The following is a 22,590-nucleotide window of genomic DNA, read 5'->3' on the forward strand; positions in this document are numbered from 1 at the left end:
TAGAGAGCCAATAAAATGTTACTAGTGTTTCCCACAGAGGCCCTTTAAATAAGTTATAATTATGATACACATCATTGCCCTACCACAAATGCTCCTTTCTTCCCAGACAAAAGACAAACCCAACCCTCTAAGTGCTAAATAATATTTTCAAGTACTTAATTTTATACTTACTTGGCATTTGGGTGATTACGTGCAATTTTCTTCAATTCAATTTCATTGTCACATGTCAGGATATTCACTCCAACTTTTGCTGCATACTTTATCTGAGACACTTGCTTGCAAGGACTTATGTAAATAATGTTTTCTGGAGGTACACCCAACTCTTGCACTAAAGCCATTTCATTCTGTGAAAATGAGGTTAAAGTGAGAATACATAATGTCACAGTTCATATTCTGGTAATGCTTCCTCTAATACTATTACCCCCACCCCTTTTAAAACCAGGGTCTCACTCTTTGTATTCCAGGCTGAAGTGCAATAGCACAATCATAGCTCAATGCAGCCTCCATCTCTGGGGCTGCTCAAGTGATCCTCCTGCCTCAGCCTCCCAAAGTGCTACGAGTACAGGTATGAGTCACTGTGCCTAGCCAAACCAATATTTTTATTTAAAAACATAAATAAATAAAAAGTGAGACGAGGTCTCACTATGTTGCCCAGGCTGATCCTAAACTCCTGGCTCAAGCAACTCTCACCTCAGCCTCTCAAAGTGGTGGGATTACAGGTGTTAGCCATCGCTCCTGGCCTAAACATTACTAAAAAGAAGCACCAAAGAAATCTCAGAGTTTAGATATCTGCTGTAGTTTGGTCTAGAAGTAGCTCTAGCCTAAGAATGAGGAACAAATTAAAGTTTTCAATTAATAAAGATAAAACGTTTCAAAGGCTCATTACACTGAAACTTCCCTTTCATTGGTGCACTTGAAAAGCTTGTAATTTTCCAACATGAGGCTGGAGATTTAAACAATTATTTTGAAACTCCATCCAAAAGTCAAACTTCCTTGCATTTGTTCTCTAACCGCTGTAACTACATTAAGTTAAATTATTCAATGTTTCAGTTTAGTTAAAAAATGAAAAATACTTACTTTACTGGAACAAGCAAATCCGGTTCCAAGAGCTGCCAAAATCTCAAGTACAGCTGGAGCAGAGTTGCACTTCACTGTGTAGAATGGCTTTATCTGAGCCACTACATTCTGCCATTGACTGTGTTTCTTCACAATCTTTCCAAGATCTCCCACAAAAAATGCATTTTTCCCTGTCTATTATGGTTATAAAAAAAAAGACAAATATGAACAAAAAACCATTGAAAATCAAGTATCAAAACAGGAAAGAACACCTCTTTTCCTCCACAAATATATGGGTCAAGACATATATTTACATACAGTAATACATTTAAAGCTTGTTAACTAGATTTAGTAAACATTAAAAGAGACTCTGAATACATTTGTTCTTTCTTCTTATATTTGATTACTTTTGCTGTGCTACACTAGCATATAAAATATTCTCCCCTTTGAGATAAAAAAACTATTATCAATTACAGTGACAAAAGTCAGAATGAAACTGCCTTGATTTTACTTTTTGGCAGTTGAAGGAAGGGAACCTATTTTCTCCCATGCTTCCCCCACTGTTTAAAATACTTTGGCAGTTCAGGATATAATTTCCTAATACAGTAAGTAGAATCAGAAATGCTAAATAAAACAAGCTATATATCGCCATTAAAACTGCACCTTAAGACAACATGGTAAAATAAGAGACCATCTTCACTGGGAAACCTCTTATTTTATTACTTTTTCAAGAGTTGAGGTCTTGCTCTGTAGCAACAGACTGGAGGGCAGTGGTGCAATCATAGCTTACTACAGCCTCCAACTCCTGGAGCTCAAGCTATCCTCCCATGTTAGGCCTCCCAAAGTGCTGGGATTACAGGTGTGAGCCACCGTGACCAACCAGGAAACCATTTTTAAAAAGACAAGGTTGTTAGTCTGCACATGGAGATGTCAAAATTAGATTTTAAAAGTACATAAGTCTACCAAATATCAGATAAGCCTGAATAAGAATAATCTTCCTTAAAGTTGTGGCTATTCTAGGACTAGAGAGATGACTTATGCAGTTGGACAGAACATATATTACTCAGTGTTAGATAGCAGGCAAAAAAATCTTATTTAGGACGTACAACATCCAAATACTGTTTGAGAATCCATGAAGACAATGTTACTGTTTTCAACTCTTTAATTCACAGTATTTGAAAATGTCATTAGAATATAGTGCCCAACTGATATAAATGCAAAACGCACATTATGTGCAGCAGAATTTTAACAGTTGTATTAAGTTATCCATCCTCCCAAGATATGATATCTATGGTATTCCGGAGACACAAAGTTTATATTTAATTTGGGAAAAAATAAGGTATTTACGGGAACCACAAGAGAAATGGGATGAAACAACAAGGTATTCAGCTTCCTTTCTTAGGCATGATGTGAGTCTGGAAAATTCTCAGTAGGCAACGAAAAACAAATTTAGGGAGCAGGGAAGCCTTGTATTTAATGAATATTCAACAAAATTAAGCAGGCTTGGGCAAACAATAGGACGATGAAAAGGGAAATAAGTTAGGAGGTCACTATAATGACATGTGCAAAGACGGATAGATAGTGGGAATGGAGGAGATGAATACCAGGATGTTATGAAGGCAAGACCAAGGTTAAATAAGAGAGGACAAACAAAAGGTGGACTGAATGACTTAGAGAACACAGAAGTGTCACCCCAGAGCCAGAAAAGAATGGGGTTGAGGAGTAATCCTCATTGAATGCTACTAAACGTGGGTTAATTTAGATGTGGGATGGAAGGAATATTTCAAAGATTATATCTGACCCCCGAAAAGTGTTGCAAAAAGTCAGAAGAATAAAGTTAAGTGATAAAAATGATCATCAGAATTTGACTAGGAGCTTCCCAGTGGCAACTGAAGAATGGCTTGGCAGAAATTGGTTGACCAATATGACAAGTTTCATGACCAATATGTCAAGTTTTAACAAGTTGAATGGCAGAGGAAGACAAAGGGATTTTTGCTAGGATGAGGGGAAGATGAACACGTCTGCAGACTTAAGGTCAAGAGAAGGAGAAAATTTTGGATATTCAATTACTGAACACCGGTAACATGAAAACAATTATCTAACAAGTTTGGTTGAATACAGGAAATTTCCTCCAATAAAGAAAGATTGTATCAGTTAAGTCTAATATATATATATATAAAAAAAAAAAAAAAAAAGACCAGGCTGGGCGCGGTGGCTCGCGCCTGTAATCCCAGCACTTTGGGAGGCCAAGGTGGGTGGATCACCTGAGGTCAGGAGTTTGAGACCAGACTGGTCAACACGGTGAAACCCTGTCTCTACTAAAAATACAAAAATCAGCTGGGCCTGGTGCTGGGCGCCTGTAATCCCAGCTACTTGGGAGGCTAAGGCAGGAGAATCGCTTGAACCAGGGAGGCCGAGGTTGTAGTGAGTTGAGATCGCACCACTGCGCTCCAGCCTGGGCAACAAGAGTGAAACTTCGTCTCAAAGAGAAAAAAAAAAAGAAAATCACCTTAAGTAGCAGTGAGTATATGATTCTGTAGAAGTTGACTCCTAGAGCAGCAGAGAGTAAGTACTCAGGATAAATTATCAAATTCTCAATGAACATACACAACCAAAATTATCTGAAAGTAAATTAATATCCACTGAAGAATACAACTGAGACCAGGCACAGTGGCTCACGCCTGTTAATCCAACACTCTGGGAGGCTGAGGCGGGCAGATCACATGTTGGTCAGGCGTTCAATACCAGCCTGGCCAACATGGCAAAACCCCATCTACTAAAAATACAAAAACTTAGGCCAGGCGCAGTGGCTCACGCCTGTAATCCCAGCCCTTTGGGAGGCCAAGGTGGGCGGATCACCTCAGGTCAGGAGTTCGAGACCAGCCTGGCCAACATGGTGAAACCCCACCTCTACTAAAAATACAAAAAATTAGCTGGGCATGGTGGCGGGCGCCTGTAATCCCAGCTACTTGGGAGGCTGAGGCAGGAGAATCGCTTGAACCTGGGAGGCGGAGGTTGCAGTGAGCCGAGATACTGCCATTGCCCTCCAGCCTGGGATACAGAGGGAGACTCCATCTCAAAAAAAAAAACAAAAAACAAAAAACAAAAAAAAAACCACTTAGCTGGGCATGGTGGCACAGACCTGTAATCCCAGCTACTCGGGAGGCTGAGGCATAAGGATCCTAAATCAATTGCTTGAACGCAGGAGGCAGAGGTCACAGTGAGCTGAGATCGTGCCACTGAACTCCAGCCTGGGCAACAGTGTAAGAATCCATCTCAAACAAGCAAGCAAAAAAAAAGAATTGAGGCTGGGCGCGGTGGCTCGTGCCTGTAATCCCAGCACTTCAGGAGGCTGAGGTGGGTAGATCACCTGAGGTCAGGAGTTCAAGACCAGCATGGCGAAACCTCGTCTCTACTAAAATACAAAAATTAGCCGGGTGTGGTGGTGTGCGCCTGTAATTCTAGCTAATTCAGGAGGCTGAGAGAGAACTGCTTGAGCCCAGGAGGCGAGGGTTGCACGTGAGCCAAGATCACGCCACTGCACTCCAGCCTGGGCGACAGCGTGAGACTCGTCTCCAAAAAAAAAAAAAAAAAAGAAAATTGAGAAAAATGAGTAAGAAGCCATGTACTGATTAGAAGGTTGGCTGGCATCACATCAACAGAATAAACAGAACATATGTGGGTGCCAGATGCTAAAAGGCATAGAAGGTAAAGGGCCATAGGGAGGATTTTAAAATAATGTGGATTGGAAAGAAAAATGGATCACTACTCAAGGGGAGTGGGTGTGGGGGAGGAAGGTCAAGTTAAATCAGATAGCATATGAACCAAGTACTTCTGATCAGATTACCATCTTGGAAATTAAAAAGCACTCGTTTCAGAGCTTGGAAAATGACAAACACTGTATTTGAGAAATGGCACTTACCAGGGTATGTTCATAAACATAGTTATCAATAACATTTCCAAGGTTTGTTCCTTCATCCAACAGGCCAACGGAGTAGTTTGCATCATCAATAAATCCTTTCATCTCAGCCGTATTCCACAAAGCCGAAAGTCATAAACCAGGAAAGACAAGAGACGGGCCACCAAGCCTATGTCTGGGTCCTTAGAATATGCAACAAACTGTCAAAATATAAGTTATATAAAAGTCTGTATTATTTCAATAGACATAATGTACGAGTCAATGAAAGTGTGCTAAGTGCCTAATTTAGTGAGGAATTTACGCAATTTTACAATTTCAGAAACATCAGATTATTAATTTCCTTTAACGCCCATTTAAAAAAGCAAATACATGAATTAAAATACATTTACCCAAAAAGGTCAATATAATTTGAAGGGGTAACTCACATATATACACAATGTATTACAAGCCTATATGGTCACCTTACTTACAGAGTTGCAGACCCAATCTGTATTATTATCTTGTTTTGCGTTCCTATAACACACATAATTTTACCCATTTTAAGAGTAAAGAAAGCTAGTGAAATAAGTATCTGCATCCAAGAAATCAAAATACCAGTCTCAACTTCCAATATACTGTCAGCCACGTATTAGCACTGCCAGGTAATTGCAGATAAATGTCTTATAAATAAAAGTCCTGGCCGGGCATGGTGGCCCATGCCTGTAATCCCAGCACTTTGAGAGGCCCAGGCCGGTAGATTGCATGAGCCTAGGAGTTTGAGACCGGCCTGGACAACATAGCAAGACTCCGTCTCTCCTAAAAAAAAAAAAAAAATTCCCAAATAGGTGAAAGTAATAAAAATGGGTGAGAGTGGAGGGTGGCTTGAGGGAACAATCTGAAGCTTTGATACAGACTGCCTAAGCCTTACCTCAAGCTAAAATAGTACTAGCTGTATCAAGTTAGCAATGTTATGAGGTGAGTTGCTTTGGTGAAATCACTGGACTAGGAGTCAGAAGACCTCGTCCTGGCTATATCATTTAGGAGAATCTACATCAATTTCTCTAAACCTCAGTTAACTACCTTAATTATTTCTTCAACAGGTTGTTGTAAAAAAAAAAAAAAATCATAGAGCATATAAATTAAAAACATCTGTTTCAGTGCTGGCTAGAATAGAGCTAAAATTGTCAATTACCAGAAATGCAAAAATAACACAATTAGAAACTACATTTGTAAATTAGGTATCTGTACATCCTGAGCCAGTTACTAAGTAATCTGATTTTTAAAAAGACTTTAGGCTAAATCCTATCCCTCTCCACTCAAATCAATGAAATAAACCTGCCCACTCCCCCGGAGCACTCATTGTCCTAAGGCAGCACATACTATACTGACATAAAGGTTTATCTTCTTTGTTGAACTTCACTGGTCCTTAGGTTACTTTAGGAAATAACTTCGACATAAATGAGATAAAACAGGTCCACCAGACAGGATACTACTCAATATCTGGTACTAATTTCTGGTTGCCACATTAATAATGGCCATTGACCAGCTGTCTGGGCAGCCTGTTTTAAAACCTGCACATCCTTTCCTGTGTCCTTGATTCCTCCCACCACCCCCCTCCACCCTCCCTAATGCCCCAAACTAGAGTTCACCCTTGGGTGATGGCCACTGTCCTGAAAGTATACTCCATTTCGATGGTTCTTAAAAGTGTCAGCATTTTGGCTGCACCAAAACAGTCCTTAATAAGCTGTATTAGTCAAATTTCATGAAATACAAATACTCAGTTTTAACTTTTCAAACACTAACAGCTTCATTTCCAAGAAGCCAACTACATTCAGTTCAACTCATCAGATCTTTCATGCCATATAGCACAGACTGAAAAGTTTAGGATGTTTTTATTTTACCAAGTTAATTGAGGCCTATCTAAATAGACCTAATACCTGTGCAGTGACGTCAAATCACAGCCTGCACATTCTCTAAAGACTGTTATAACAGGACTGCTGTAAATCTGTGCCCAGAAAATATAGACATTTTAGGCTAAGAATACATGTTTATTTTAAGCAATTTAAAGCACCAATTTTGGGGGGATATTCAACTGAGCACTAAGAACAATTAAAAAAATAAAGGTCACTCATTTAAAAAGATAAATATAAGAAAATAAGGTAGAAACTTCCTGTTAAGTTTAACATCACTAACCTTTTTGGCATAGCAGCCAGTTTTCATTTATCTTACTATTAATAAATGAAAAAATACGAAATCAAGACTTTTGGCCTAAATAAAATACTTTGAAATGGAAAAAAAAATAAGTAAATTGTGTCCTCACTTTATGTCAATAGCTTCTTGCAAACTGTGTCTTTTAAGTAAGAGGTAAAACGAAACCATTTTTTTTCTTAACATTATAATGAAATGTTATTTGAGGGCTTGCTGTCTATGTCTTTTTGCTTAAAGTCGCAGTTTCCAAGAACCTACTGATGATGTTCAATGAGGACTTAATTGTATCTCAGTTGCTGTTGCTAAGTCTCTGGGCATAGTCTAATATATATGTAGTATTTAGTACTTAGTTGAAAACCTTTGGTTATTGATTATAAACGACAACACACAACTGCTGCCAAATACAGAAGGTCTAGCTTTTAAGTCAGGATAAGATAAACCTCCATTTCCTACAACCATAGTGTTCTTAGGAAGGGTAATTTTCCTTTAACAGTCAGGATCCTCAGTACTTATAAAAACATCAGGCCCACTGGATCAAGTCTTACTGGCTGACTACCTACATTCTTCAGAGCTTCTGCTACAGTAGTATGATGATATGGATAAAGATATTTTTTCCCAAATATTTTCAAACCATATAATTTCATAGGTTCAACTCTGACTGCCTGCTAAGCTAGCTTAAATCTAACAGTAAACATGTTTATAGCAGTCTCCCAGCCTAAGTGTTTCATCTATTCAATATTAATTCTCTTAACCCTTAAAACCACAATGACGGTATTATCTCCATTGATATACTGAGGAATAGAATAATTAAGTAGGTTAGCTCTAGAGATACTAATGATCAAACTACATTTAAAACAATATGAAAACCTTGCTTCCCCAGCACCCCATCCCTATAAAACACAGGACTCCTTTTTTTTTTGGGAAATCCAACACAGTTCTCAGTCTCTTTAAAAGAACTTTATCATATCCACATAATCAACTAACCCCTTTCAGACATATGAACACTCATACTTGTTGAAAAATGCTAAGTTTATTCACACTGGTATAAAAACATTATCACGCCTACTCACAGCCTTTCTTCATATGATGTCCCTTTTGCAGCAAATCCCCAACTCCACCCCAGGCAACCACTGACCAGCTTCTTGTCACTATAAATTAAGACTTTTATAGAAGCTAAATAATTTTAATCAACTGAAGGCTAAACCAAAACAGCTGACATATAGTGTCATTATCAATATAAATAAAAATAGTGAAAAAATATGACCTCTTCTAAAGGAAAGATAAAATGTTTGTGGAGTTGACTATTCATCTTTGAAATGGAACTGTTACTTCAGAAGTAACAGCAGAGTTGTTAACCACGTCCCAGCTGAGTGACAAAATCATTCTGTTGCAAAAATGAAATAAAATTCATTTGCTATATTGGCAGTACTTGACAAAATGGATTAAGGATCACCTGAATCCACAGATGTAGTACATTAACATTTGTTTTCTTTCATTATACAGAGAACTACAATAAAGTAGTTGATTGAACCCAATACTTTGGGAAGCTGAGGCAAGATTTTGTGAGGCCAGAAGTTTGAGATCAGCCTGAGCAATATAGGGAGAACCCATCTCTTAAAAAAAAAAAAAAAAAAACAATAAAGCTCTAATGGAGGTTTATTTTCTTTGATGCTCTCTTGAAGGCTTTGAGATTGCTGTAAATTCCTAGCCCAGAATAGGTACTCAGAAACAAATGGACAAAAGACTTCACAACAAACAGTGGGGAGTTCTTAAACTTAGGGGTGGTGGTAATGAACTCCCTGGAAGTGTATTGAAAAAGTAGCTCAATTTTTCCCATTTTTTTTTTTTTTGAGAAAAGGTCTCACTCTTGTCACCCAGACTGGAGTGCAGTGGCATCACAGCCCACCGAAGCCTCAACCACTCAGGCGATCCTCCCACCACAGCCTTCAGTCCCACCTCCACTCAGTCAGTCCCTGTAGCTGAGACTACAGGCACATGCCATCATGTCCAGCTAATTTTTTATTTTTTGTAGAAAACTCTTTGTTCATAGTGTCTCACTATGTTGCCCCAGGCTGGTCTCAAGCTCCTGGCCTCAAGCAATCCTCCCACCATGGCCTCCCAAAGTGTTGCAATTACCGGCATGAGCCACTCTGTCCAGCTCTTTCACATTCTTAAAAGAAGCCCGTAACTTTGATATGCAAGCAATCCAGATGTATAGTCATGCGTTGCATAACAACATTTTTAATAAGGACAGATCAAATATATGAAGGTGGTCTCATAATACCATATTTTTACTGTACCTTTTCTATGTTTAGATACACAGATACTTACCACTGTGTTACAACTGTCAACAGTATTCAGTACAGTAACTCGGTATACAGGATGGTAGCCTAGGAGCAGTAAGCTACACCATACAGCTTGGGTGTGTCGTAGGCTGTACTATCTAGGTTTCTGTATGTACACTATGATGTTCAAACAACCACAATGTCACCTAACGACACATTTCTCAGAATCTATCTCTGTCATTAAGCTACCCATGCCTGTGAATGCAAAGCTCAACTATCAGCTACTGTTAAAGACTAAAAGGCCAAAAAAAAAAAAAAAAAAAAAAGCCAATTCCTCAAAAGAATCTGTAAAACACAAACATCTGCAGCAACAAGTTTTCTTTTTTTGTTTTTCTCTTTATGGAGAATGGGGTCTCACTATATTGGCCAGGCTAGTCTCTAATTCTTGGGCTCAAGCTATCCTCCTGTCTCTGCCTCTCTTAAGTGCTGATATTACCAGTGTGAGCCACTATGCCTGGTCAAATTTTCTAATATATCTTGAGGCAACAAACTCTTTGTTCAAATGAAATGCCACTTGGAAACCCAGTATTTCCAACTGAAAAGGGACAAGTAGGTGGGTGAGGTAGGTTGCTTGAGTCTTTCATATGTTGTGCCCCAATCTCACTGAAAGAGTCCTAAAAAAGCAGCTCAAATCATACCTCTGGGATCACTGCTTGCAGTTTTCTTAATATATTAGCAAAAATAGTTTACAGTTCCATTGTTAAAAAAAAGAAAGGTTTATGTTGTGACATTTATGCCTTACTGAAAGCACTAAGAAATATTTTGCCAAAACGTTTTCAGGAGGTATTAAAGTTAATTGGCGACAATATGTCAAACCAAAAGTCTTAAGACACAGCATGTTCTAGGGAGCAAGCATGAAAATAAGTGTGCATGTTTCGGGGGTGAGCAGTTTATACCTTACTCCAGATTCACTAAGTTAATCTACCTCAATCTTCAACACCACAGGGGGCTGGGCACAGTGTAATCCCAGCACTCTGGGAGGCCGAGGCAGGCAGATCACGAGGTTGAGATCGAGACCATCCTGGCCAACATGGTGAAACTTGTCTCTACTAAAAATATAAAAATTAGCTGGGTGTGGTGGTGCACACCTGTAGTCCCAGGTACTCAGGAGGATGAGGCAGGAGAATCACTTGAACCCAGGAGGCGGAGGTTACAGTGAGCTGAGATTGTGCCACAGCACTCCAGCCTGGTGACAGAGCAAGACTCCATCTCAAAACAAAAACAAGAAACAAAAACCCCCGCACAGGGACTCTTTCCAGGACGTCTCCATACCCTCCACTAAGAATGCAGACTCAAACCAAGGTGATATATCAAGTATCTCCTTGCAATTCTGAGTGGAAATAATTCCCAAAAGAAACTGTACCACTTCTTCTGGCTTACAGATCAGAAACAGGACTGATTTACTGGCTGCAACACATTCTGGTGCTATTGGACCTTGAACTAATTATATTAAACTTGAAAAAAAAACTACTCCATGTAAATCTTAGATTCTCTTCATTAGAACTGAACAGCAAATCTAGCTCTGATGTCTAGTATTATCAATAGACACTAGAAAGTATTCTCTACTCACAAGCACTTTTAAGCTATTTTCAACCACCTTATTAACATACGGTTGAGAAAGCTCAGGTTATTTTACACTAATACAGTAGCGTATAACCACAATACTACTTTTATTAATAATTTCCTCTTAGACTCATAACTGAGAAGAAAAAATATGTAACATCCCTTATTCACACCTTCATATGGGTGTTTTTTTAATACATTTTTCCATGAAGAGCTGCCAAAAGAAACAAAAGGCTCCAAAGAACCACACACTGCTCCCTGGAGCCTTTCATGAGGCCGCTGAGTCCTCATGTTCATCGACAGGGTAGCTCCAAGAGTAGTGGCTGCAGGAGCTGGGCACTTGCCTTGTTACACACCTGCTACAAAGGCTTCTACAGTTGATTGTACTTCAGAAGAAACTGATACATCTCTCAAATAATCACAAGATAATTCTGGCAGCAACAGCCCACTTGACACCAAGCTGGATGAATATGAGTCTTGGATTTCTGAAGTGAAGACCTCCCTGGAAGTAGAACAGGGAGAGCTGAAAGGTTGAGAATACTGTTTCAGAGATACCTAAGCAGGAAACCCAACCTTAATACATCAACCATTTTTCTAAAAGGATTTTTACTCATTAAAAATGAGAAAAGATATTCTGAAATTTACACTATTACTGTTACTCTGAAGATGCCTAGGTGCATTTCTACTTTTATTTTTACATAGGCATTTGATGACTTAGCACCCAGCTCACAGCTTTAAAAATATACAACGTTGCTTAAGTCCCCTCTGCATTCTACCTACAACAGAAAATGTTACTTACCACATAGAATACCTTTAAAAGTAATTGACCAGAAGAGCACTAGAAGCTTCTAAAGAATGACATCTACCATAGATGTGAGACCTTGAGTAGGTCTGAAACACTACAAAAGAATTCCAGGAAGCTATATACTGAAACTGGTAGGAAATCCTATAAATTTAGTGATCATAAGATCAGGTAAACTTCTGCCACCCTGGACCCCAAAATAAGTGATAGACAATAACAACAGCCTACATTGAGTACTCAGGATAAATCAGGACAAGGCTTGCTTCAATAAGAAAGCCAGTAATCACAATGCATACCCCTAAACTTATTTTTCAGGTGATGAGGTTGAAAAAACTGAGTAACCTTAGAGGAAGAAGACTAAAGGTGACTGCTAAAGATTTATTTTAAAAGAGAAGAACAAGAATGAATAGGAAATATATAAGGGGGCAAAAAATCCCAAAAGTTATAAGCCCAACAGGCTAAGTTTGAAGTGCCTGTGTAAAGACTGCCCAATGAACTGCCTCACCATAAATATTAAAATGTAGCTTAATGAGAAAACAAAATACACAATTCTCACAGCAATATTATTTTTGCACGTGGAATTAACACAATTAGACTCCCTTAAAAATGTCTTGACTATTCAATGTGAAGACTAAATTTTTTTTCTGGAGAAAATGTGTGTGTACTAAAGTGTGTGTGTACCTGCACTCAAGTGAAATATTTATATCCCTTTTGGCAATTAAGATGTGATAACATTAAAGATAACTATTACAATACAACATGAAGTACACAATCATATTAATTTCAAGTTTTCTAGCTTTCCTGATTACAATTAAGCATAGGGAATAATCCTTTAAAGAGACACACTATTTTGGTTACCTTAAGGCAGAGCTCATTGCCTGCCTGTCCACTACTCACCCAAGGAAAACATATAGAATACATGTGCAATACAGTAATTGCAACCAAGACCAAGTTAAGCAGGTTATTAAGAAATCAGATGCTGGCCGGACATGGTGGCTCACGCCTGTAATCCCAGCACTTTGGGAGGCTGACGCAGGTGGATCATGAGATCAGGAGTTCCAGACCAGCCTGGCCAAGATGGTGAAACCCTGTCTCTACTAAAAATACAAAAATTAGCTGGGCGTGGTGGTGGGCACCTGTAATCCCAGCTACTTGGGAGGCTGAGGCAGGAGAATCGCTTGAACCTGGGAGGTGGAGGTTGCAGTGGGCCAAGATCACGCCACTGCCCTGGGTGACAGAGCAAGACTGTCTCAGAAAACAAAAAAAAAGAAAGAAATAAGATGTAATATCTCAGAGGCCCCTGTACCTCTCCCTTAGAATTTGTTTAGACCTTCTCTAATCATCATTCCTTTGTTACTTAATGGTTTTATTCTTCTATGTGACCCTAAAACAGTGTTGGGCAATGTGGTACTTTACATTCTAGTACTAGAGTCCTTATTCCACTGGCTGGCAGTTTAAGTAGCACTGATCTAGGGACTACAGTCTATACCTGGGACTGGAACTGCTAGATTGTTAGTGGCAAACAGTTTTCAAGTCTTTTGCTCAGTTTCTTGTTTTTGCCTTTTATTTATCTGAAGGAGCTCTTCATGAATTTAGGATAGCAAACCTCTCATTAGGAGTATTATTTTTGGGGTGATTGTTTTGTCAGAATTTCCATGTTGAACATACCAGGATAACCCCATCCTACCTTTGGTCATGCCAAATATAACATGTTCATGCTGAACCTACATGAGCTAAGAAGATACCATACTTGTTTAGGAGATCTTTGCAAACTGGGCATCAGAGGATCCTTGCAGTAAAGAGCAAGAAGCAGATAAAAAGTAATCTGAAGTCAACATAAAGCTCATACTGCCAAGCATGGTGGCTCACGCCTGTAATCCCAGCACTTTGGGAGGCTGAGGAGGGCAGATCACCTGAGGTCAGGAGTTCGAGACCAGCCTGACCAACATGGCGAAACCTTGTCTCTACTAAAAATACAAAATTAGCTGGGCATGGTGGTGTGTGCCTGTAATTCCAGCTACTTGGGAGGCTGAGGCAGGAGAATTGCTTGAACTAAGGAGGCAGAAGTTGCAGTGAGACTGAACCACTGCACTCCAGCCTGGGCAACAAAGGTGAAACTCCATCTCAAAAAAATAATAGTAAAAAAAAAATTTTTTAATACAAAAATTAGCAGGGCGTGGTGGCATGCACAACGTGGCTGGACCTCATGATGGCTGGCTATGGCCTGGGCAGGTTGAACCTGACTATCCTAATCCCCGTAACCCAGTATGCTACACAGTATTTTCTACTCATGCATAATGTAAAAAACAGTGGATTAACGAAAAGGAGAGCTAAATATCTGCTTTAGTTAACTTGTGACAAATTGCTTGATTTGACTGGGCATGGATGTCCCTGGAATGGAGGAAGGACAAAATATCTGTGCTCCCTGGGGCCTCACCAGTATGTAAGCACTTCAACTTGGAAGAGTCTCCTTAGGCTTATCTGAACAATGGCCAGTTTAGAACAGTAGCCTGCCATATACTAGATTTTAAGGTTTACAAGCCTTTTTCATAGATGCAATATCTCATTTATTCTAATGGAAGTTAAATATCGCAAAAGGGATTGGTTTACCTGGGGTGGGGTATGGGGAGACCCAAACTGGAAAACTCTGAAACAAGATCAGGTTGGGTGAAGACTGTGATGGAACACACAGATTGGTAGTCAGTATTAATTTTCTCAGCTAAACTAACCTCTGTAATAAATGCAAAAGCCATTTATCCCGTTTAAAAACTGGTCTATGGTCGGGCGCAGTGGCGCATGCCTGTAATCCTAGAACTTTGGGAGGCCAAGGAAGGCGGATCATGGGGTCAGGAGTTCGAGACAAGTCTGACCAATATGGTGAAACCCTGTCTCTACTAGAAATACAAAATTAGTCGGGCATGGTGGTGCATGCCTATAATACCAGCCACTCAGGACGCTGAGGCAGGAGAATTGATGGAACCCGGGAGGTGGAGTTTGCAGTGAGCTGAAATCGCGCCACTGCACTCTAGCCTGGGCAACAAGAGCGAAACTTCGTCTCAAAAAAGAAAGAAAAAACTGGTCTACGTTGCTTTCCAATCTTTTTGACCTTCCTAAAAAAAATGCTAAATTTGCTCAAAGCAAGAAATACCATGTCTCTAAAACCTTGTTTATCCATTAATATGCTAGTATTCACATTGTGCTTTTACAGAATATTTTTCTGCTACTTTACACAAGCACTGACACACCATTGACTCTACTTTATGTATGCCAAGGGGATATACAGACTGTGTATTTCAACGATAGTGGTTTTACTCATCTTTTTGGTCAAAGAGTATCAACCGCCATTAATGAATGTTCTGTTACATTTGCTCATATCACAGTATCCTTAAAGTACCAAATATCATCTGTGAGAAATTAAATCGGGGGGTGGGGGGAGAAAAGAAAAAAAAGTACCAAATATCAAAACTGAAATTTTCCCCTTTCTCTGCAGTCAGGGTCAACAACCTCCCTTTCCCTTGAGACAGTCTTGCACTGTCTCCTAGTCTACAGTGCGGTGGCACCATCTTGGCTCACTGCAACCTCCGCCTCCCGGGTTCAAGCAGGCCTCAGCCTCCCTAGTAGCTGGGATTACATGCGTGCACCACCATGCCCAACTAATTTATTTTTGTATTTTTAGTAGAGACAAGGTTTCACCATATTGGCCAGGCTGGTCTCAAACTCCTGACTTCAGATGATCTGCCGGCCTCAGCCTCCCAAAGTGCTGGGATTATAGGTGTGAGGCACCGCACCCAGCGGACAACCTCCCTTTCCTACTGATAACTTACAGTGAAACATGAGGAAGGAGTACTAGCAAATTCGTAAAGAACATCTTTCCAGCCAGGCGCGGTGGCTCACGCCTATAATCCCAGCATTTTGGGAGGCAAGGGGGGCGGATCACCTGAGGTCTGGAGTTCAAGACCAGCCTGGCCACATGGTGAAACCCATCTCCACAAAAATACAAAATTTAGCCGGGCATAATGGTGGGTGCCTGTAATCCCAACTACTTGGGAGGCTGAGGCGGAAGAATCAGTTGAACCAGGGAGGCGGAGGTTGCAGTGAGCCAAGATTGTGCCACTGCACTCCAGCCTGGGCGAAAGGAGGAGACTCTGTCAAAAAAAAAAAAAATATATATATATATATATATTTTTTTTCCCTAGTTAAAATAATCCTAATTAGGTAGGGAGCTCCTACTAAGGCATGTGTAAATACTAAAGATTAGGAGACAAAATGTGAATATTTAAAATGCTGATGTTCTTCTGAAGTTCCTACATGAATATATAGAGCCGACTAATGACAACCAGGTAAAAAAAAAAACTTTTTAAAGCAAACTTGTTAAGAGCCCATTTAAGCAAATCAATTAACTGAATCCCTTTTCCATACTGCACAACATTAAAGGGTATGTGATAATGAATCTGACCACATCACTGGATCCACTATGAGAAGCAAACTTAGCTTTTTAAGTTTTAAAATATTTTCCATTAGGCTAATTCATTAATTATAATTAAACCTACAACCAAAATAAATAGAAAACTAGCCCACTGGAAAACCTTTACTCCAGCATCAAGACCTAGGGGATTTCTTTTTTTTTGAGACGGAGATTTGCTGTTGTAGCCTAGGCTGAAGTGCAATGGCACGATCTCGGCTCACTGCAGCCTCCGCCTCCCAGATTCAAGTGATTCTCCTGCCTCAGCCTCCCACGAGTAGTTGGCATTACAGGCACCTGCCACGACGCTCGACTAATTTTATATTTTTTTTTAGTAGAGACAGGGTTTCACCATGTTGGCCAAGCTGGTCTTGAACTCCTGACCTCATGTAATCCGCCCGCCTTGGCCTCCCAAAGTGCTGGGATTACAGGTGTGAGCCACCTCACCTGGCCTAGGGGATTTCTCAAAAGGCTCACAAAAACTTTTTCACAATTAGGGGCCCATTAATCTTTGATATTGACCTTAAAATATTTTGTTAAGACATTTTTACAGTGTTTGCGTACTACATCATACACACATTCTAAATTATGAAAGAAAAGGATTATGTAAGCAACTTCCAAAATTTCCAGATACTTAGTTTATTCCATCAAAATTCAGGTGGTTGATTTAAAACCTAACTCTGAAGCCAATTCTGGATCTCAGACTACCTGCACGGGAATCCTAGTGGACCAGTTCAAGCAGAGTTCATATAGCTACATGCTTTGCAATGCTATGGGCCAAATAATTTCCATGAAGCTGTTTTAACTCCTTTTAATGGTTTTCAAATAATATTGTTGATCTACAGAAAATTAACCCCAGGATTTCGGTGTCCAATAGAGCAAACTCTTATTGATTTGTAAGGATAACACATTTCTGGAATGCGGAATTTTCTCTTGCCAATTTTACAAATTCTAGTCAAGAAACCTTTGGGACTAGGTATCTTTGTGAATTCAGAATTCTCCAGATTTTGAACCATAATGTAGTACACATACTTTACATATGTTATGTAATATTCTTCAGGAGAATGAGTCAGCACCCTGCAACCACAATATTTCTGAAGCAAAATTTAGGAATATTAACACTAAATGGGATAAGTAAAGACAAAAATAGCCTCAAATCAGCACAGATCCAGGTCAAGTTTTTTTTGTTTTTTTTTTTTTTTCCCAAATCAGTTAAGGTCACATCAAGGAAGCTATAAAAAAATTTTTTTAAAGACTTTTTGGATTTCAGAATTCTATGAAAAAGGGATTGTGGACCTGTAGCTTTATAGCAAAGCATCAAATACTAGACATGCAAAATGAGAAGATTACATGTGAATATTTAAAGAAGTTATATTTGTTTGACATAATATGCATTGTACCCGGGCATAATAAAGTTAAAAGCCAGTTATTCTGACTGCCAGAACCTGCAGAATAAATTATCTTTAGCTTCTATCTGCTCCCATTCCCTCCTACCCACAAAGAGGGAGACACTATAGACTTTCTGAATCCTACATTATTAATCTAAAGACTACTTTTCCCTGATTTTGCAGAATCATTCAGCTCACTGACAATAGTCTCTCAAGTTTCTAAGAGGAAACACCAGTAGAAATATTAACTATAATGCAAGGTAACTTTTCTTTAAAGCAAGAGACACGAATTAAAAGAAGGATTATCTTTTATTACGGTCTTCCTCAAAAGACGAAGCTTGTTCTTAAATTTCTGCCTTAGAATGGATTCACAACTATGATGTTAACTTTAACAGATTGCACCACCCAAAAAGGTTTTATATCTCCAAGTCAACTTGGGAGAAAAACATCAGGTATGTTGCAAATAGAACAGATGGACTAACAAAAATTAGGCAACTGACTTAGTATTGAAACAGCAATGACCCTGCTTCTCTTTAATGTGCACACAAGCCACCTGGATATAGACTCTGATTCAGGTTTGGGTGAGGCTGAGATTCTGTATTTCTGTTCTAGGTGAGGATGCTAATGCAATTCGTCCGAAGACTACACTGCATAACCAAGGACAGTAATACACTCAAAAAAAGAAATTATGCCAGTTTAACACAAAAAGAACTGTTCCAGTCCAACATTATGTTATAGCTGGGATTCACATTTGCTCAAATTTACACAGGTAGGAGAAAGCCAGTATAGGAAACCCTCTAGCCAACATTCTAAGTCAAAGGTTTCAAGAAATCTTACTATTTAAACTGTGTTTCCTTCTCTTTAGCCTTAAAAACCTGAGTCTAAAATTCTAATTTGTATTAACATCAAATGTTTGCTTAGAGCAAACACTTTTATCGAATAGGGATCTGTTTAACAAGATCAGATTAAAGAAACACTAAAACTGATACCCTCAGCTTTCCTGAAAACTTACCTCTAAGTCTCTGACCAAACTTAAAAACACTTAAATTTTAATAACAAAATCTGAATTTCCGTAACAATAAGTCTATATACCACAAAATTTTTAAATGAACCCACACAAATCTAGTAGCCCAAATTCAGTTTACTGTGGAATTACATTTTGCACAGGGGCTCAATTCTAAAGTAAAATTCACACATAGAAAACCAAGTATAGTCAAAAACTATCCTTGAAAATCTGTTAAATATCTATATTTTAATACCATACATATATTTTAATACCATATACATATTTAGATACATATATAAATTGAGATATATATATGTATCTCTATCTATCTCTATCATCTTTCAGCAAGTCCTCTAAAAACAATCAGTTAGTTGTTCCTACCAGCTGAGTAGCAAAAATCATTTCACTAAGTTAAATGGTTGAATGATGTGATAAACTATACCTTATTTCCCAAAAGCCCTCTTCAACGTATATTTTCTAAGTTATGCATACAAGATAGTTTTAAATGATCCAGTCATTGGTAAACAATGCACACAACTAAATCAGTCAAGTCTGTAACCAGTAACTGTCTTATCTCTATTTCAGAAATTTAAAAGTCACTGCACTTTAAGAGGTAAATGCAATTTCAAATTCTGAAAAATACTAAGCAAGGCAGCACTCTTCCTTCGATTTTAAAGACCTCCTCCCCACCAACAAATGTGCAAATACTTACATGGACAAGTTGGGAGATGGAACCCCCCTATCATCAGCTAGGTTCCCAAGGTGGCTCAGCGTTGAAGTCGAACTGCTCTCTATACAGCACTTCTCCTAGGCCCTCTGGGTAGTTGTATACTTGGTCAGAAAGTTCGCCCTAAAAGAAGGAAATAAAAGTAGCAGAAGATAGTCCTATGTTAAAAAAATGTTTAGGCTGACTTAAACATGAACTGTAGAATACGTGTTCATTTTATAACAATGTTTCATTAAAGTCACATTACACAAGTGATATTTTCAAAGGGTTTACCACAGTACCAAGTACTTTATGCAGTAAACATTTCCAAGCTGCTATAAAAAATTCACAGAACTTGATGTCATAGCCATCTTACCAAGTCGTTTTATCTGCCTACTCAAGAGTTACCAGCCTTCATTTTTGAAGATGAAAACTTCATTTTTGCTTTTATTTGTCCTCTAAAATTCCACATTTTTAAGTGGTCCAGAATTTAAAAAATTCCAAGTACCCTCACCAACCTAGTGTATATACAAGACTTTATATGAATAATGTACTAGCATGACCCAATAGTTTGGAACCACCCAGAACACTCTTTTACTCCTCAAATATTTGTCTTTTACATTTTAAATGTAAAAATCCACCACAATACCAAAAGATTTTATGACTTAGCTAATGCATTATATATGTATCTAACATAACTTTTGAAAAACATAAAATAACTTGAGAACTTCCTTATAATATTAAGCAACTAATCTCTTAAGATTTATCTTCTCATATCTAACCTATTTGGACATAATTCATTCTATTATCACCAGGAACAAATAAATGTGATAAGTGCACAGCACACTATACAACATGGTAGGTGAGTTTTAGACATTGTTACCACTCATCACTTCTAAGCTAAAATGATATACCTATGTTTCTATGTATAATTCAGTGGTTACTGTTTTCAAGTAAAATAATCTGACAGTGTTTGCTAGAAAGGGGTGGTAAGAAGGAAGCCAGAAAACCAGAAATTATAAAGTCAAGAGTTGGAGGGATTTCAGAAGCACTGTAGGCATACCTAAAGTGTATCTCACCAGGATCAAGGCACTCCTGGTGGAGGCAAAATGTTTCATCTATCTAGGAGAAGCTGATCACATGCTCAATGAATGACATTTATGGATGATGAGGAAAGAACTCCTACAAACATGCAATGATGATAATAATCTTACATTAGATTCCAAATAATGTACTACTCCATAACATTCTGATTCTTTCAACACCAACGTAATTTTCTAAATAAATAAAAAGTTGAGTCATGCTGGGGACAGATCATTCTCAATTATCCTAAGGAATAGGATCAGATACCCTAGGTAAGACATTATTCATCTTTTTCTCAATACATATATCCACAGCTATTTTGCTGCTTAATGCAACCCAAGAGCAATGATGTGAAACATTATGGACATTAAACGTCAGACATTCCAGAATGTTCCTCAGTGAGAACCCTACAACATTTCCATTTAACAAAAAGATACTAGTAGGGAATGAAGGCTCTAGAATTTGAAAGGCATTATTTAAATACAAAAAATAGGGCTAGGCGCAGTGGCTCTGAGCCAGTGGATCACTTGAGGCCAGGAGTTCAAGATCAGTCTGGTCAACACAGTGAAATCCCATCTTCTACTAAAAATACAAAAATCAGCTGGGCATGGCGGTGCACACCTGTAATCCCAGCTACTCAGGAGCCTGAGGCACAAGAATTGCTTGAACTCAAGAGGCGGAGGTTGCAGTGAGCCGAGATTGTGCCACTGTACTCCAGCCCAGGCAACAGAGGGAGAACCTGTCTCCAAAAAAAGAAAAGAAAAGAAAAAATGAGCCAGATGTGACAGTATGCACCTATAGTCTCAACTACTGAGGAGGTTAAGGCAGGAGGACTGCTTGAGCCCAGGAATTTGAGTCCAGCCTGGGCAACACAGCAAGACCCAAAAGGTGCATAGGATAAGCACTTCTTATAAACACATACAGGATAGATAAGCACTTCTTATAAGCACTTACATACAGGATAGATAGAATGTTTATCCGGACAGTTAGGATAAAAAAGCATGAAGAAGGACTTGTTAAATGGAAATGCGGAGAAAAGGCAGTATGGAAAAAAATAAATTATTTTCACTTAGAATGGTGTATGTAAACACTGCAAATTCTCTAACACCTTAGAGAATAGCACAGAGAGGGCTCGGTTGGTCAGTAAGAAACAAGAAGCATTTTATGTAATTTATTTTATTTTATTTTTTTGAGACGGAGTCTCGCTCTGTCACCCAGGCTGGAGTGCAGTGGCGCGATCTTGGCTCACTGCAACCTCTGCCTCTCAGATTCAAGCAATTCTCCTGCCTCAGCCTTCCGAGTAGCTCGGATTACAGGCATGTGCCACCATGCCCGGCTAATTTTTTTGTATTTTTAGTAGAGATGGGGTTTCATCATATTGGCCAGGCTGGTCTCGAACTCCTGACCTTGCGATCCACCCACCTCGACCTCCCAAAGTGCTGGGATTACAGGCATGAGCCACCACGCCTGGCCTATTTTATTTTCTTAAAAATAAAATAGGAATTCAAGCTGGCCTTGAATTCCTGAGCTCAAGTGATCCGCCTGCATCAGCCTTCCGAAGTGCTGGGATTACAGGTGCAAACCACCGTGCCCAACTACAAAAACTTTCTATCACTTTGACAGTAACTATTACAAACTTAGTATCTCAAAATTATCAGTACGTCTCTGAAAACACAATGCCTTTACCAATGATTTTTAAAATCGTTCTGTGGTATTCTTTGTAAAAACTCCAAACCCCAGTCTAATCATGAGAAAAACATCAGGTAAACCCCAAGTTTAGGGGAGGGGAGTATTCTACCAGATATCTGGCAGCACTTTTCTAGACTGTGATGGTAATGAAAAACAAAGGAAGACTGAGAAACTGTCACAAACCAAAGAAAACTGGGAAGACATGACAACTAAATACAATGTGGTAACTTGGATTCTGGAACAGAAAAAGACATTAAAGAAAAATTGGCGAAATCCAAATAAAAGTCTCGAACGTTTCATAGTGCCAAAGTCAGTTTCTTAGTTTTAACAAATGTACTGTAATAACGTAAGATGTTACTAATAACTGGGTGGGAAGTATGAAGA

General features: G+C 38.9%; 1 protein-coding gene across 13 annotated transcripts in view; it reads right to left on the reverse strand.

Moving 5' to 3' along the window:
* The window catches only part of AZIN1 (antizyme inhibitor 1), a 37,899-nt gene that overhangs the window by 12,271 nt on the left and 3,038 nt on the right, over positions 1–22,590 (reverse strand). For 4 of the 13 annotated variants that reach the window (NM_001363010.1, NM_001363013.1, NM_148174.4 and 1 more), the window contains exons 2-5: positions 19,441–19,578; positions 4,979–5,175; positions 1,078–1,251; positions 172–344 (exon numbers count right to left, since the gene is read on the reverse strand). In NM_001363010.1, coding sequence (NP_001349939.1) covers positions 172–344; positions 1,078–1,251; positions 4,979–5,080 — 449 coding nt within the window. In that variant the 5' untranslated portion in view covers positions 5,081–5,175; positions 19,441–19,578. Of the gene's footprint in view, positions 1–171; positions 345–1,077; positions 1,252–4,978; positions 5,176–11,414; positions 11,594–19,440; positions 19,579–22,590 lie in introns of all 13 variants that reach the window. The other 9 variants (NM_001363011.1, NM_015878.5, NM_001363014.1 and 6 more) reach the window with 4 other exon arrangements.

Source organism: Homo sapiens, chromosome 8 (genome assembly GCF_000001405.40).
Source record: "Homo sapiens chromosome 8, GRCh38.p14 Primary Assembly".
Classification (NCBI taxonomy): Eukaryota; Metazoa; Chordata; class Mammalia; order Primates; family Hominidae; genus Homo; species Homo sapiens.